We start from the raw sequence: 14,281 nt of genomic DNA on the forward strand, positions 1-14,281 counted from the left end.
GAAGAGGTGGGTGTCCTAGGAAAATATTCAGCATTTGCTGGGAGAGTTGTAGGTCCTATGGTGTTTTGCTGCATTGTTTGTCTCCTCTGGCCAGTTCCCCTGAACTCTGATGCAGACAACATCTCCTTTTTATAAAAGTCATGTCATTTTCCCTGCATGCCTGTCTTTCATTTAGGGTTGTGCTTTCAAACTGCAGAACATTAGAATCATCTAAGGAGCTTTTAAAGATCCCAATGAGTACAGCATGCTATAGACTATTTAAATCAGAATCTCTGGAAAGTGGGGTCCAGGCTTCAGAATTTTATAAAGTTCCCCAGGTGATTTCAATGTGTCCCCAATGTATCAGGCCCTGACTTGGGACCTCTAACTTTGAAGTTTTTCAAGATCTTCCCTTTTTGTCCTAGTTCCCCTGCAGCTAAGTCCCCATTTTCTAAGCTTCTCTCTAAGTAATCTCCCCCCTGCTTCGTCTTTCCATCCCACATAGAGTTCAGGTCTAGGTTTATGCTCCTTCCACTCCTTCAGAATTTCAGAGCTGAAGGGACCTCAGAGTCCCATGGATGAGCCTAAATCTTCACTGTGTAGATGCAAAAGTGTAGGGAAGGAAGATCAGGATGTTAGGTATGGTAGGGCAGGGGCCGGAGCCACTCTCTGCTCTCACTGATTTGCAGAGCCTGAAAATCCCCCAGTGGTCACTGATCCACTCTGGAGAAAGCAACATTCAGATTGATTCACTGTCTGGAAAGGTAAGCTGTGGTCAGATGATAGAGATCCTTGAAATCTGCGTAATGATGTATTACAATTAAGACTGTAGACAATGGGAGCCACTGAAGATTTCAGAGCATCAGTGTGTCATGTCTGCTCTGACAGGGGTGGTTAGGGTGGAGAAAAGAAGAAAGACTCTTGGCAGTCAAACAAGTGAAGACAGAAAACCAAGCAAGAAGAGGCAAGCAATTCCGAAGGAGGTGAGAAGTGGAGGGGAAGATAGACATTAAGAGCACTGGTGGGGGGTACTTGGACCTCTCCTCCATCTCATCAACTGACTCACAACCAAGAGTCAAGTTTTCAAGGCTTGACAGCTAGAAGGACAATGTTGGCCCAAACACTATCAGCCTCAACAGACTGATAGGATGTTGAGGACGGAGAATATGAGCTTTGGCACAAACATGTGAGCCTTAAACTCTCTCTCTGGTGTTTCACTGAAGGCAGGGCCCCACTTCAAATTCCAGCAGAGAATTTTGCAGCTCGTAGCTGCCAGTTTGGGGGCACCTACAGAGAGGCAGTGCATTGAGGTGGCTCCCTGGGTTTGGAACCTGACTTGGTATTTTTCTAGTTTAACAGAGATGTTAAGCATCCTTAATATCTCTGTGCCTAAGTTTTCTCACTTCTAAGATGGAAATAAAACTGATACCCACATCACAGGGTTGTGATAGATGAAATGCTTTGAAACATAAAAATACTCAGAAGCATTCATGAGGCACAATAAATACTTAATACATAGTCGCTATTCTATTATTTTACTGTTTATGGATAGCTCATTCCTCATTGCCTAGGTCATAGTTCATAGCAAAACATCACTGGACTGGGAGTCTGGAAATCTTGGTTCTAGTCTTTTTTTTCTGCCAATGACAAGTTCTCTGAACTTGATTAAATCATATTTAACTTCTGCAAGCCTCCATTTCTTTTTCTATAAAATAGGAATAAATTTAGTCTACTTTGTCATGTGAATGTGAAGACCAAATGTCTTCCCCACATCATCCCCCTGCTTCCAGCTGCATCTAGAGATGACAGACCAGAGGAGAACCACCTGGAGTGCTGTTCTCCCCCAGAGGGGCTGGACAGGAGCACACAGATTTATCCTTCAAAACTTCCATCACCTGCTTATCCATTCCACCTCCTGGTGCCCATCTTGGGTTTTTTATTGAAGCTTTTTGCTTTTCTTTGGAAAATACCTGACATTTAACCAGAGCAATAGTTAGGAACCAACTTAAAGTCATGTCTGCCACACACTGGGGCTTTAAGACTCAAAGGACTACAATTACTATGGTGGAATTTTGTCCCAGGAGAAGGAGGAACTGCTGGTGTGTTGTTCTGGTCACCTGGAACTGATCAGAAGCTTGGACTCGGGTCTTGCCCGTATCACTGACTTACTGCTATGATGTCAGTCAAGAATTGGTTGCATAGGACTCCTTAGAAAATGAGGGGGCTAAATTAGATTTCCTCTACATTCCATTCCAGGTCTTCTATGTGTGCCATGGTTCTAAAATTCCAGTCAACTTGTTACAAAAATATAGGCATTTGGTATGAATTAAAAAGAAGAGCCATTCTAACAGAGTTGACCAAAGACGGAATGAGAAATTGTGAATTCCCCATATCTAGAAGGTTTTGAGTAGAGACTGAATGATTTTCTGTGGGTAGAATCCTGCAGAAAGAGAGGATGGCTAGGTTTCAGGGTACCTGCCAACTTAGGGATTAAGGGATTCTGTGCATTTTAGAGAATTGAGGGACCACTAAGGAATGTAATGCGAAATCTTAAGAAATGGAGCATCCCAGTCCTACTCAGATTTTGTCCTACTGGGGACCACATACCATGTATCTTTGAAAGGACAGTTTTGATGAACAGACTCCCAAGAAGGTGAGCCTGCTTTCATTGGCCTTGAATGGACCTCATGGCAGGAGGGGAGTGGGTGGTGGAGGCTGGGCTTCACCTTGTCAGAGCAGAGTCCTCAGTGCCAAGAGGAGGCAGTCTTCCCCCACTTAGCCTGGGACGAGGAGCTCAGGACAGAAGGCATAGGCTGATGGGAGGAAAAATTGAGTCACTCTTTGATGTTATTTTCCTGGTTCATGGACCTCTGAGAACACTTTTTACTCATTAGCCTGTCTAGACATAAGAACTCACCATCTGGGCTGGCCTTTTCCTCTTCTAATTTTCCTTGCTCTGTCACTTTTGCTGAAGATGGGGATGAGGTTGACAGCTGACACCAGCAAGTATGCTAGGACAGCATCGAAGCTGTCCTGTGGATCCCTGATTGGAGGCTGAGATGGATCCAGCATCCTATTTTTGAAGATTTCTGACTCTAGGCAGAGGGAGCCGTCAAGCTGAATAAAAATTGAAAATTTGGGAAGATGTGTGGTTCTGCTTTGAAGACTCTCTGACACATGCTCCACTTAACCACTAAAATGAATAATCTGCTTGTGTTATAAATAGGATGGCTTGAATGTGTTGCAAGGCAGCACTGTGGGTGGCTCAGGGCAGGTGTCGCCTGTGAAGGGAACTGACTGATAGAGGGGACTTGGTCAACAAATTCCCAGAGTCTTTCTGGCCAGTGGATCCCCCATTACATGAACTCATCCAGTGCTGCTGCAGTGACTAAGCCCCTCCTTACCACTTATCCCCAGGGTCCTATGCAGCCCAGAACCCTGAGGGCCTTAGAGAACAAGCTCAAAGGGAGGACTTAGGAACCAAGAGTTCTGGCTACTTTGTGGTTGTGCAGTCATCAGCTTGGAAAAAAGACAGAGAAATGTAAAGGGGAAACCCTGGCCTCTCTATCTCACAAGGGTTAGTGGTTTGGAGGGGAAGAAGATTGGAGCTCTTTAACAGAGCCAGGTTCTACGCAAGTAGTTACTCACGTATCTCTTTCTCCACCAATTTGGATCAACAAAAGAACTAAAACTGCCAAGCAGAAGCAGTGAGGTGCAGCTTGGACTTTCTGTACAGGCCAGCTGCTAAGAACTAAACTGGGGAAGGAGTAATAAGTATTCATTAAACACTCACATATATGATAGGCCCTTGAGGGCTAAAAAAAATCATGGAACCTGCCCTTAACTCTAATTTGGGTATTGAAGAGAAGATTGTCTTGCCTTATACTGAATAGATATTCAGTAATTGTTGAACTGACGAATATAATTTAATGGTGATTCAGCTGCAGTAAAGTCTGCATGGAGGAAGGGGGACCCTGAAACCCTCCCAATCTTAGAATTGGACAGCAAGTCAGGATATTACGTGCAAGTGTGAAACCACAGCTTTCAAAGACAATTCAAATGCTACAAGGTTAGGCATAAGGGAAAAGAACCAGGCTCTCCTAATCCTTAAATATTTACCTCCTTAATAGAGTAAGTTTAACTAGCAGTATGGAGCTCTGGATGGGGAGTTAGGAGAACTTTTCATTCATTCATCCATCTGTCACATAATATAAAGCACATATCATATGCTTGGCTTAGCACTGAGAGTAGAGCAATAAATAAGATAAACATAGTTTCTTGTCTTCAAGAAGCCGTTAGTCCAGGGAAGCAGTCAAACATTGAAAACTGATGTTTCAAATGTGATGAACATAATGATAGGGGAAATGCAAGGTGCCGTGAGTTAAATTTTTGATATAATCCAATTTTTGTAAGCCAGAAACATTCAAAAAGAGCTTAAAAATTGTCATGTACGCATTGTGACTATAGTTTTGCAAATTAACTGTTAATAAACATATATGATTGACACATGTAAATGAGTGTTTTATCCAACAAAGACTCACTCTGGAAGCCCATGTTTATATTTTGATGATATTTTTCTCACTACTGGTATATATTTCTTCTTTCTATTTGCATTAAAAGCTGTTCTTCTAACTATTTCTGCTGTTTATCCTTTGATGACAAGTCTGGCTTCTAGAGTTGCTACAAGTTGACCATGACTTTGTCTCTACCCTGCTTCATGAGCTTGGCAAGTTATGTGACCTCTCTGGCCCTTACTTTCCATAACCGCAGAATGTTCTCTGTGATTTGGTCCTGCTTAGACTGTTGTCAATCTGCTATCTTATTTTGGGGCCTCCAGCATGTGAACCTGCAGGCTGTTGTTTGGGAGGGGCTGTCTCAGTGGACAGTCGATGCCACTAACCTCTTCTAGAATAAAAGATCATGCAGGTGCCAAACACCTGCATTCACTAATAGAGGGAGTGGGTATTTTCCACCATTAGTGTTCAGATAATTACAGGTACAGACTTTATCATGTTTGGAGTTTGGCCAGTATTCTGTAAGTGATGCTTAGAGTGATTTCTCCCCACCAGTGCTGGGATCCTCCCTAGACACACAAAACAGGTAAGACAACTACCATTTGTGATTATCTTGGCCCTAGAGCCATGCCATTCCTCACCAGGCCCCTGAGAAAATGCAGACTGAGATCCACTTTGCTGAGGTTCCGAGGATCCCTGGGCCACAATGGGAAATGAGGTGCTGAGAAGCTCTGGGACCAGCTGGGTGTGCGTTCTCCATGATCAGGCAACACTGTGGCCATTGCGTTGATCAGGTCAGTCACAGAGGGCCTTAGAATGAATGTCCAAGTTGGTGGCTAGAGTAGTCCATCTGCTTTCATCTCCTCATGTGCAGGTGAGGAAATTGAGCTTAAGAGATGAGTTTGAGATCACACAACTTATCAGCAGCTGGCAGTGTCAGATCCACGTTCTCTTGAATCAGTGTTCCTCGTGGTTTTCTCTCCACCACAGCACTAATTTCAGGCTGAGTTTCCTCAGGCCCTCAGCCTGAAATTAGTCCCAAATGCATTCAATGCAGTAGCCTAAAGGATGAATATTTATTGTTTACTTCTGAGATAGATGGCCTCCTAGTTAATTTGTTGGCTCAATGATGTCACCAAGAACACAGGCTCATTGATTTAGGTTCCCCAACTTGCCACATGTATTTGCAGAATGCATGTTGTATAATTGCACATCATGTCTTCAAAGGTTGGAAATAAAAAGTGGTACCAAGCAGGAAATTTTCCTTCTTCTGCTTCTCTTTTCTTTTGCAAGGGAGTAATTTTTTTTTTTTTTTTTTTTTTTTTGAGGTGGAGTCTCGCTCTGTTCCCCAGGCTGGAGTGCAGTGGCGCAATCTCAGCTCACTGCAAGCTCCGCCTCCTGGGTTCACGCCATTCTCCTGCCTCAGCTTCCCGAGTAGCTGAGACTACAGGCACCTCCCACCACACCCGGCTAGTTTTTTGTATTTTTAGTAGAGACGGGGTTTCACCATGTTAGCCAGGATGGTCTCGATCTCCTGACCTCGTGATCCGCCTGCCTCGGCCTCCCGAACTGCTGGGATTACAGGCATGAGACACCGTGCCCGGCCGGGAATAATTTTTTTACAAAGCTCTTCAATAGACTTCCCTAATGGCCAGAACTGAGTTCCATAGATACCTCAACTTCAAGGGAAGCTAGAAACTGTGAGTTGTACATTTCAGTCTCTATTGTATGACGTGGGCAGAGGAAGAGGTGATGTAAATAGCTAAAGCATGGCCAAACGACAGTATCTGCCACAGCTGTTGAGCTCCCTCTGGATGTGTTAGTCCACAGGAGAATTAGGACCTGGGTTAGGTATCAACAATAACAGTAGCTTCATCAGTAGTCTGGGCTCTTAATTCCCACCTTTCTCCTTGGAATTTGCTCCATCAGGAATTAATGACTTAAAATATCTGCTTACATTGTCACCTCAGCCACTAGATTGTGAGTTCCTTTAGGAAAGGACTATGATTTATTTAACACCAGTGCCTGACTCATGAAAGACATTTTTTTTTAATGTGAGAAGGAATTGCTAATTTAGTGACAAATTTTTATTAGTTGGATGGATTAGCTACTTAATTAATGCAGCATTCAATTTACAGATGCACAATATTACAAAAACAAAACCTGATTCTTAGGAGTGACAAATCTGGAAAAGTAACAAAAAGGCATCTTAAAAAAATACAGGGATATGCTTACCAGTTTCAGAGGTATAATTATTTAAAGTTATTTTAGAAAGAAACTCTTCCCTTCCTGTCCCCATATTTTTGACTTGGCATCCAAGAAAGGGAAATTATGCCCATCCTTTTACCATAGATTCATATAAAAATACTGTACATGATTATAGTGATGTATGATTTCCTAAAGGAATGTGCAACATTTTATTTGATCTATACAACAAACTGGTGATGTAAGCAAGGAGAGATTAGAGGATCACATTTCCTGTTATGGGACAAAAATTAATAATATAGGAATAAATAATTTAGAAATGCTTATAGACTTATTCCTTTTCCAACCTCACCAAAAAGAATCCTGTAAATGCTAGTCCAATTTTCACCTCCTATGGTCTTCGAAGAGGAAAGATTCTTTTTGATGATAGAAGAGATAAATCTACGTATAACAGTACTGGAGGGTAGGGAGGGAGGACGGAAGTGGCAGAAAACTGTATGAGTAAGGAGTGAAAGAGGAAGCCTTTTATTTTCTCCCTGGAGATCAGAACCAGAGCAGCTACGATAAGAAAGTAGGTTGGAGACGCAAGAGAATTTGCATAAGTGTTTCTGAGAACCATATATTTTCATCCCCTTTAGTGTCTTCAGAGCGGCATGAATAATAAATAGAATTCCATCTTTGTTACTTTCAGTTTGGGGACATTGCTGCTTAAATCTGAAACTGCTCTGAGACTGAAGCACATGGGTCTCTGAGTTTATTAGGGTTACACATAGACAATGAAACACATGGTCAGAGAGGTTAAGAGAATGATCTATTAATAGTAGAACCTAACTACTGCTTAAAGCCCTATGCCATGCCTTATCCTTCCACTTCACCCTACAAAACTAAAGTGTATACATTTGTTTCAGTTGTTGCTGCTTGCTTGTTTGCTTTTCTGTTTTGAGCTTTTCTTTTCTTTTGTGGAGGGTAAGAAAGGTAAGCTTGTGTGCTCTTCCCAGTTCATGGAAGCTCGTCAAGTTTTCAGTTTGCATTATCAAGCAAATGCTTTGCAGGATCAGGAGTTTTTAAATTTCTTTATATTTTTTATTTTCCTTATTTTTGGCACCTTATCCAAGACCTGTGAGTCCCTCTGGGCTGTGTGTCTGAGAAGTGATAATTGAATTTCTCAGGGTGCAAGTCACTGGGAAGCTGAGTTTGCGGCATGTTAGCTTGGTATCTCTCTTTATTTCTGAGCACCCCCACCCTCTCTCAGGCCAAGTCACAGCTGAATGCTTCACATTAAAACGCACAAAAACATGAATCCGTAGGGCAATACACCAATGGAATCTTTAGGATTCAGACTCATAATAGTTCATCTCTTGCTTGGTCTGCCCTGAGGTTCTGAGTGAGATTATCCTGCTTGCTCACACCTTATTAATTTTGATTTATCTAAGGGAGAGATGTAGAAATGTCCTCACCTATGTTTGTGCTTCAGGTAAGTCAAAGATGTTTGTTTCTATCTACTTAAGAGAGTAAACAACTGAGTCTTGGTATAGTCAGGCATAGGCTTTGGTGGAGAGATTTGGATGCTTAGGCTCCTATTTGACAGAAAGCAAGGCCTGGAGCTGAGAACCCCAAACAGGTAATCCTTGGGAAGGTATGTCTGGGTGTCACGGTAGTCAGCTGAGAATGTAAAGTGCTGCCTATGGCTAAGGGTATGGGATAGACTGTTGCCTACTTGACCCTCTCTGCAGTGTCTACAGTGAGTTTTGTTTGTTTGTTTTTTAATGTAAGTGGTTGGGAAGAGGAGATCGATGGGAAAGTTACAAAAGAAACAGGAATTTCCAAAGAATCTGAGAACTTAGAGAGGTGAGAGAAGAGAGAAAGGAAAAGCACTGCCCAGAGAGGAGAGGCCAAGTTGGAGCATCCAGAAAGGCCTGCCACGTTCCCCTGTGACAGCCCTGCTCTGACAGGGTGAGGGCCTGGGACAGGAGGAGATAGAAGGAAGGGAGAATGGAAGGGAGGAAATGCAAGGATTCGAGCCTCCTCCACAGATAGGAAAAATTTAGACCAGGGATGCTGATGTCGCTTACTATGATTTATTGTCATTGTGTGGGTGTTCACACAGGGTGTACACACTTTCCATTCTCCCAGGTCCATGTGATCTGGACTCTAATCTGAGGGATGATCTGACAACAACAACAACAGCTGCAAAAATGTAGAAGGAACCCCAGAAGCTGATGGAGTTGAACACCTGCTCTAATGGAGGCAGAACATGGGAAAGTGGATTGAAAATGACCAAAAAGAAAAAATTTACCTTTAGTTTCACAAATCCCCTGGGCTGCATGGGGCCATGATCCGCATCTGGGGGTAAAATATCAGACATGATTATGTTTTGTTTTCCTTCTAATTGAAAGACTAGAATATAAAACGGAAATGAATGGTGAGAGGCTGGCATATCCAGAAAACAGAGAATAGATCTTCACAGATATACTGAAAATCCATGGGGAGAGATGTGGCTTGATGGTGGAGACAGGCGAAGCCATGAAGGGCTGACAAGTCATGACAAGAGTGGTGTGTTTTACCCTGTAAGTCATAGGGACTCACTGATGACTTTTGAGCAGGGGAGAAACATGATCAGGTTTGGGTTTGAGAACAATCATTCTGGTTTCAGGGTGGCAAGTGCAGCAGAGGATGGCAGGAGGGCATGGAAAAAGGGATACATCTCCATTCCATAGCATTGAACACTGAACTGTCCTCAAGTTCTAGGACTGCAGTGCCTCTGGTCCTTCCCCAGTGGCCAGACTTCCTAAATGGTCAGAACTGAGCTCCATAGACAGGTCTTTTTTGCGGCTAACGTCCAACCACTTTCTGACTTAGATGGATCCCTCAGAAATGGGAGCAAAAGCTCTTCTAAGTTCCTTGTACATACATATCAGGCATGAAGGTGGGATATTCTCAGAATCCCAGGAGGGAACAGTGATTGAGGAAACAAGGGCTCCAGGAAAAACATGCTTGGGATTTTATGGAAGAGTTCTGGATTCTGGAAGAAACTGGAAAAGAAGGAAGTGATCTGTCACTGGGGAAAAAAAATCAACATTTCTGGTTCTACCTTCTTAAATATAAGATTTTATCTCATCATAAAGGTCACAGTGACCTGGAAAATGAGGACTTCCATCACATTTGTACAGCTTCCCAGGTTTTACAGCTTATTTTCACAAGTGTACTTTATTCCATCCTCATAACTTCCTTGTGTGTTTGGTCAGCTAGATAAACTCTCAAAAGCCTCAGTGTCCTTGTTTGTTCAGAAATGGGATTAGTATGTGGCCTGCTCACAGTCAGATGGCTAATCAGCCCAGAGCCAGAAGCTGCTTGCAGGCTAATGGCCAAGCCTATCTCTCAGCACTGCCTCTGCAGCAGGCAAGGCTTGGCCATGTGTGGCTGTGTGGCTGTGTGGCTGTGTGGCTGTGTGGCCGTGTGGCCGTGTGGCCGTGCCGCTGTGCGACTGTGTGGCCGTGCGGCCGTGCGGCTGTGCGGCTGTGCGGCTGTGCGGCTGTGCGGCCGTGTGGCCGTGTGGTTGTGTGGCTGTGTGGTTGTGTGGCTGTGTGGTTGTGTGGCTGTGTGGCTGTGTGGCTGTGTGCTTGCTTGCATGTGAGTTTGCAAGTGATGAAGGGGAAGCGGGTAGCTGTTAGGGGCTGAATTGTGTTGTCTCCTAAAAATATGTTCAAGTCCTAATCCCCGGTACCTGTGAATGTGACATTATTTGAAAATAGGGTCTTTGCAAATAAAATCAAGTAAAGATGAAATCATTAGGGTGGGCCCTAATCCAACATTACTGATGTCCTTCTAAGAAGACAGAACCATATATAGTCATCCCTTAGTATCCACAAAAATTGATTCCAGGACCCCTGTGGATACCAAAATTTGCAGATGTTCAAGTCCCTTATATAAAATGGAATAGTATTTACATTAACTTACACATGTCCTCCTGTATGCTTTAAATCATCTCTAGATTACTTTTAATACCTAATACAATGTAAATGCTATATAAGTTGTTGTTATACTGTATTATTTAGAGAATAATGACAAGAAAAAAGTCTGTACATGTTCATTACAGATGCAACAATGTTGTTTTTCTGAATATTTTTTCCAAGGTTGGTTGAAACCATAGATCTGGAACCCAAGGATATGGAGGGTTGACAGAGTTCATATCCAAAATAGATAAGAAACTCATACAATTCAACAGGAAATAAATAACCTGCTTAAAAAATAGGCAAAAAAGTACTTACAAAGACATAGATATTTTTCCAAAAAAGACATACAGATGGCCAATAGGTATAGAAAAGATGTTCAACATCCCTAATCATCATGGAAATGCAAATCAAAACCACAATGAGCTATCACCTCACACCTGTTAGAATAGCTGTCATCAGAAGGACAAAAGACAACAAGTGTTGGTGAGGATGTGGAGAAAAGGGGATACTTATACACGGTTGGTGGGAATGGAGCTTGATATAGCCATTATAGAAAAGAGTATGGAGGTTCCATAAAAATAGAGCTACCATATGATCCAGCAATTTCATTTCTGGGTATATATCTGAAGGAAATTAAATCAGTTTTTAAGGAGATATCTGCCCTCCCAAGTTCATTGTATTGTTATTTACAATAGCCAAATTATGAACACAGCCTATGTCTGTTGGTAGACAAATACAATAAATTGTGGTATATATATGCCACAATGTCTTTATTCATATATATAGGAAAATTATTCAGCCTTAAAAAGGAAGGAAATCCTACCATTAGTGACAACCTGGAGGACATTATGCCAAGTAAAATAAGCCATGGACAGAAAGAAAAACACTACATGATCTGACTTATATGTGGAATCTAAAAGAGTTAAATTTATAGAAGCAGAGAGTAGAATGGTGGTTACCAGGGGTGGAGGCATAGGGGAATTGGGTAGAGGTTGGTGAAAGAATACAAAGTTTCACTTACGCAGGATGTGTAAATTCTGGAGAGCTAATGTACAGTGTGGGGACTAGAGTGAATAATAATGTATTGCAGTGGTCCCCAATGTTTTTGACACCGGGGACTGGTTCTGTGGAAGACAACTTTTCCATGGACCAGGATGGGGGGATGGTTTCAGGATAATTCAAGCACATTACATTTATTGTGTACTTTATTTCTATTCTTATTTCATTGTAATATACAATGAAATAATTATACAACTCACCATAATGTAGAATCAGTGGGAGCCCTGAGCTTGTTTTCCTGCAACTAGATAGTCCCATCTGGAGGTGACAAGAGACAGTGACAGATCATCAGGCATTAGATTCTCATGAGGAGTGTGCAACCTAGATCCCTCAAATGTATAGTTCACAATAGGGTTTGTGCTCCTGTGAGAATCTGATGCCACCACTGATCTTACAGGAGGTGAAGCTCAGGCGGTAATGTGAGTGATGGGGAGCTGCTGTAAATACAGATGAAGCTTTGCTCTTGCCTACCCGCCGCCCACTTCATTACCACGAGAGCTAGGAAGAAGTAAGGAAGGAGCCTCTGCAATGTGGCCCAGGTCCTAACAGGCCACAGACCCGTACTGGTCCATGGTCCAGGGATTGGGGATCCCTGCTGTATCATATACTTGACATTTGCTAAGAGAGTAGATCTTGTGTTCTTAACACACACACACACACACACACACACACACACACACACACGGTACCTATGGGAAGACATGGATATGTTACTTAGCCTGATTGTAGTATTCAGTTGTACATCTTAGATATATACAATTATGATTTAAAAAAGAAAAAGGAAACAGAGACACACAGGAAGAATGTCATGTGATAATGACAGCGAGTGTCATCTGCAAACCAAGGAACTCCATGCAGCTGCAAGTCAAGGAACACCAGGGCTCCACAGCCACCTCCAGGGCTAGGAAGAAGTAGGGAAGGAGTCTCAGAGGGAACATGGCTCTGCTGACACCTTGATTTCAGACTTCATGCCTCCAAAACTGGGAGAATAAACTTTTGTTGTTTTAAGTCACCTAATTGGTGGCACTGTGTTGCAGCAGCCACAGGAATTTAAGTGCACTTGGACCCATGGAAGTCGCTGCTGTGCTCTCCAGCTATCAGCTCATGAAGGCAGGACTTACAAAGAAACTCCTCTGCCCATCAAAGTGCATGTCAGAGCGTCATTGAATCTTAGGGGGACGAGTTAGCAAACAAAAACCTGCCTTCCTAACCAGGCAAAATGATAAAAGTTGATTTTATTCCTTACATCTCCTTTCGGGTTTGGTGTTATCTTTCAACACTGATATGCCAAAAGGTTCTATGGGGCATGAGAGAGGTGGGGATAGTCAAATGACTAAACCATTAGCAATGTGCCCACATTTCCTGAAAGACTGTGGGAGGACACAATATATGAAGTACCTTACCACCTATGCACATCATTCTAGTCAGAATACTAATTTGTTAACTGATTGATTTCTTGCCATATTATATAAAAAGTTAGGGTCAAAATTATCAGACAGCTCTACTCTTATGCTAATGGAAAAGGAATACTTTAGACATAGATGTTGTGAGCAAAGTGAAATTACACACCAGGGCAATTATGTGGAGATCTTGAGGCAAGGAGCACTCCTACCTTCTGATACAGAAAGAAAAGGGAAGCTCTGTCTGCTCTGAAAATACCCAATCTGGAAAGCTATGGATTCGATTATTTCCTTTATGATCCCCCAACAGAAGATAGATTTTCAGAGGTCCTACCTGGATACCTGGAGATGGGATGGTGGGTCTTGCTGAGCACCTGTAAGGTCTGGTAAGGATGACATAATTCAGGACTGGGCTGTTTTGGGCTTTCATTCAGTGAACCTGAATCCCATACTTCAAACCATTAGGAAGAGTCCTATGCCTCCCCAGATAACTATTCAACTAGACTATGGGTCAGTTGACTTCAGCTTGATGGATTTAGTGGAGAATAGAAATTATCTGCCCTCACTCTTCTCATAGAAGTCATGCAATCTGGGGTTTCTCTAACTTGCTGGGGTGAAGAAAAGGGGAAGAGGAGGTCAAAAGGGGGGTTGTTGAAGAGAAGAGGTACAGAAGAAAGAGATAAGGAAGTAAAAACCAGTCACATTTAAATTCTATCCAGAGAGAGCATGCATTTATGAGCATATGTGTGTCACATAAGTACGTATTCTAAGGCAAACCTAACAGGGAGAAGATTCTCAATGTAAGCACAGAACTTTCATCTGTGGTTGACCTCCTAGTGCCCCAAGTTACACGAGACCCTAGGGACAAGGGGGGCTTTGCTCCCTCAGGAAAAAAAGCCATTCTCTCATTCTGTGTCAAGACCCTGGAGGCTCTTTGACGTCAGAACTGCTCACCCCACCTCCCTTTGGCCTTTGGTGGATGCTGCTCCCAGACCCCCTTGGAAGTCCCATCCTTCACAGAGACGTTTTTACTGCTCTTATCTTCCCACAAACTACCCCTCTCCCAGACCCTAGGAAATCAAAGTGCTAGGAATGACATGGTGCCTTTGTGGAGAAATGAAGACGGTTTTGTCCCCGCAGGCTCCCAGAAGCCTGCAGTGATTGAGGGAGT

Source organism: Homo sapiens, chromosome 2 (genome assembly GCF_000001405.40).
Source record: "Homo sapiens chromosome 2, GRCh38.p14 Primary Assembly".
Lineage (NCBI taxonomy): Eukaryota > Metazoa > Chordata > Mammalia > Primates > Hominidae > Homo > Homo sapiens.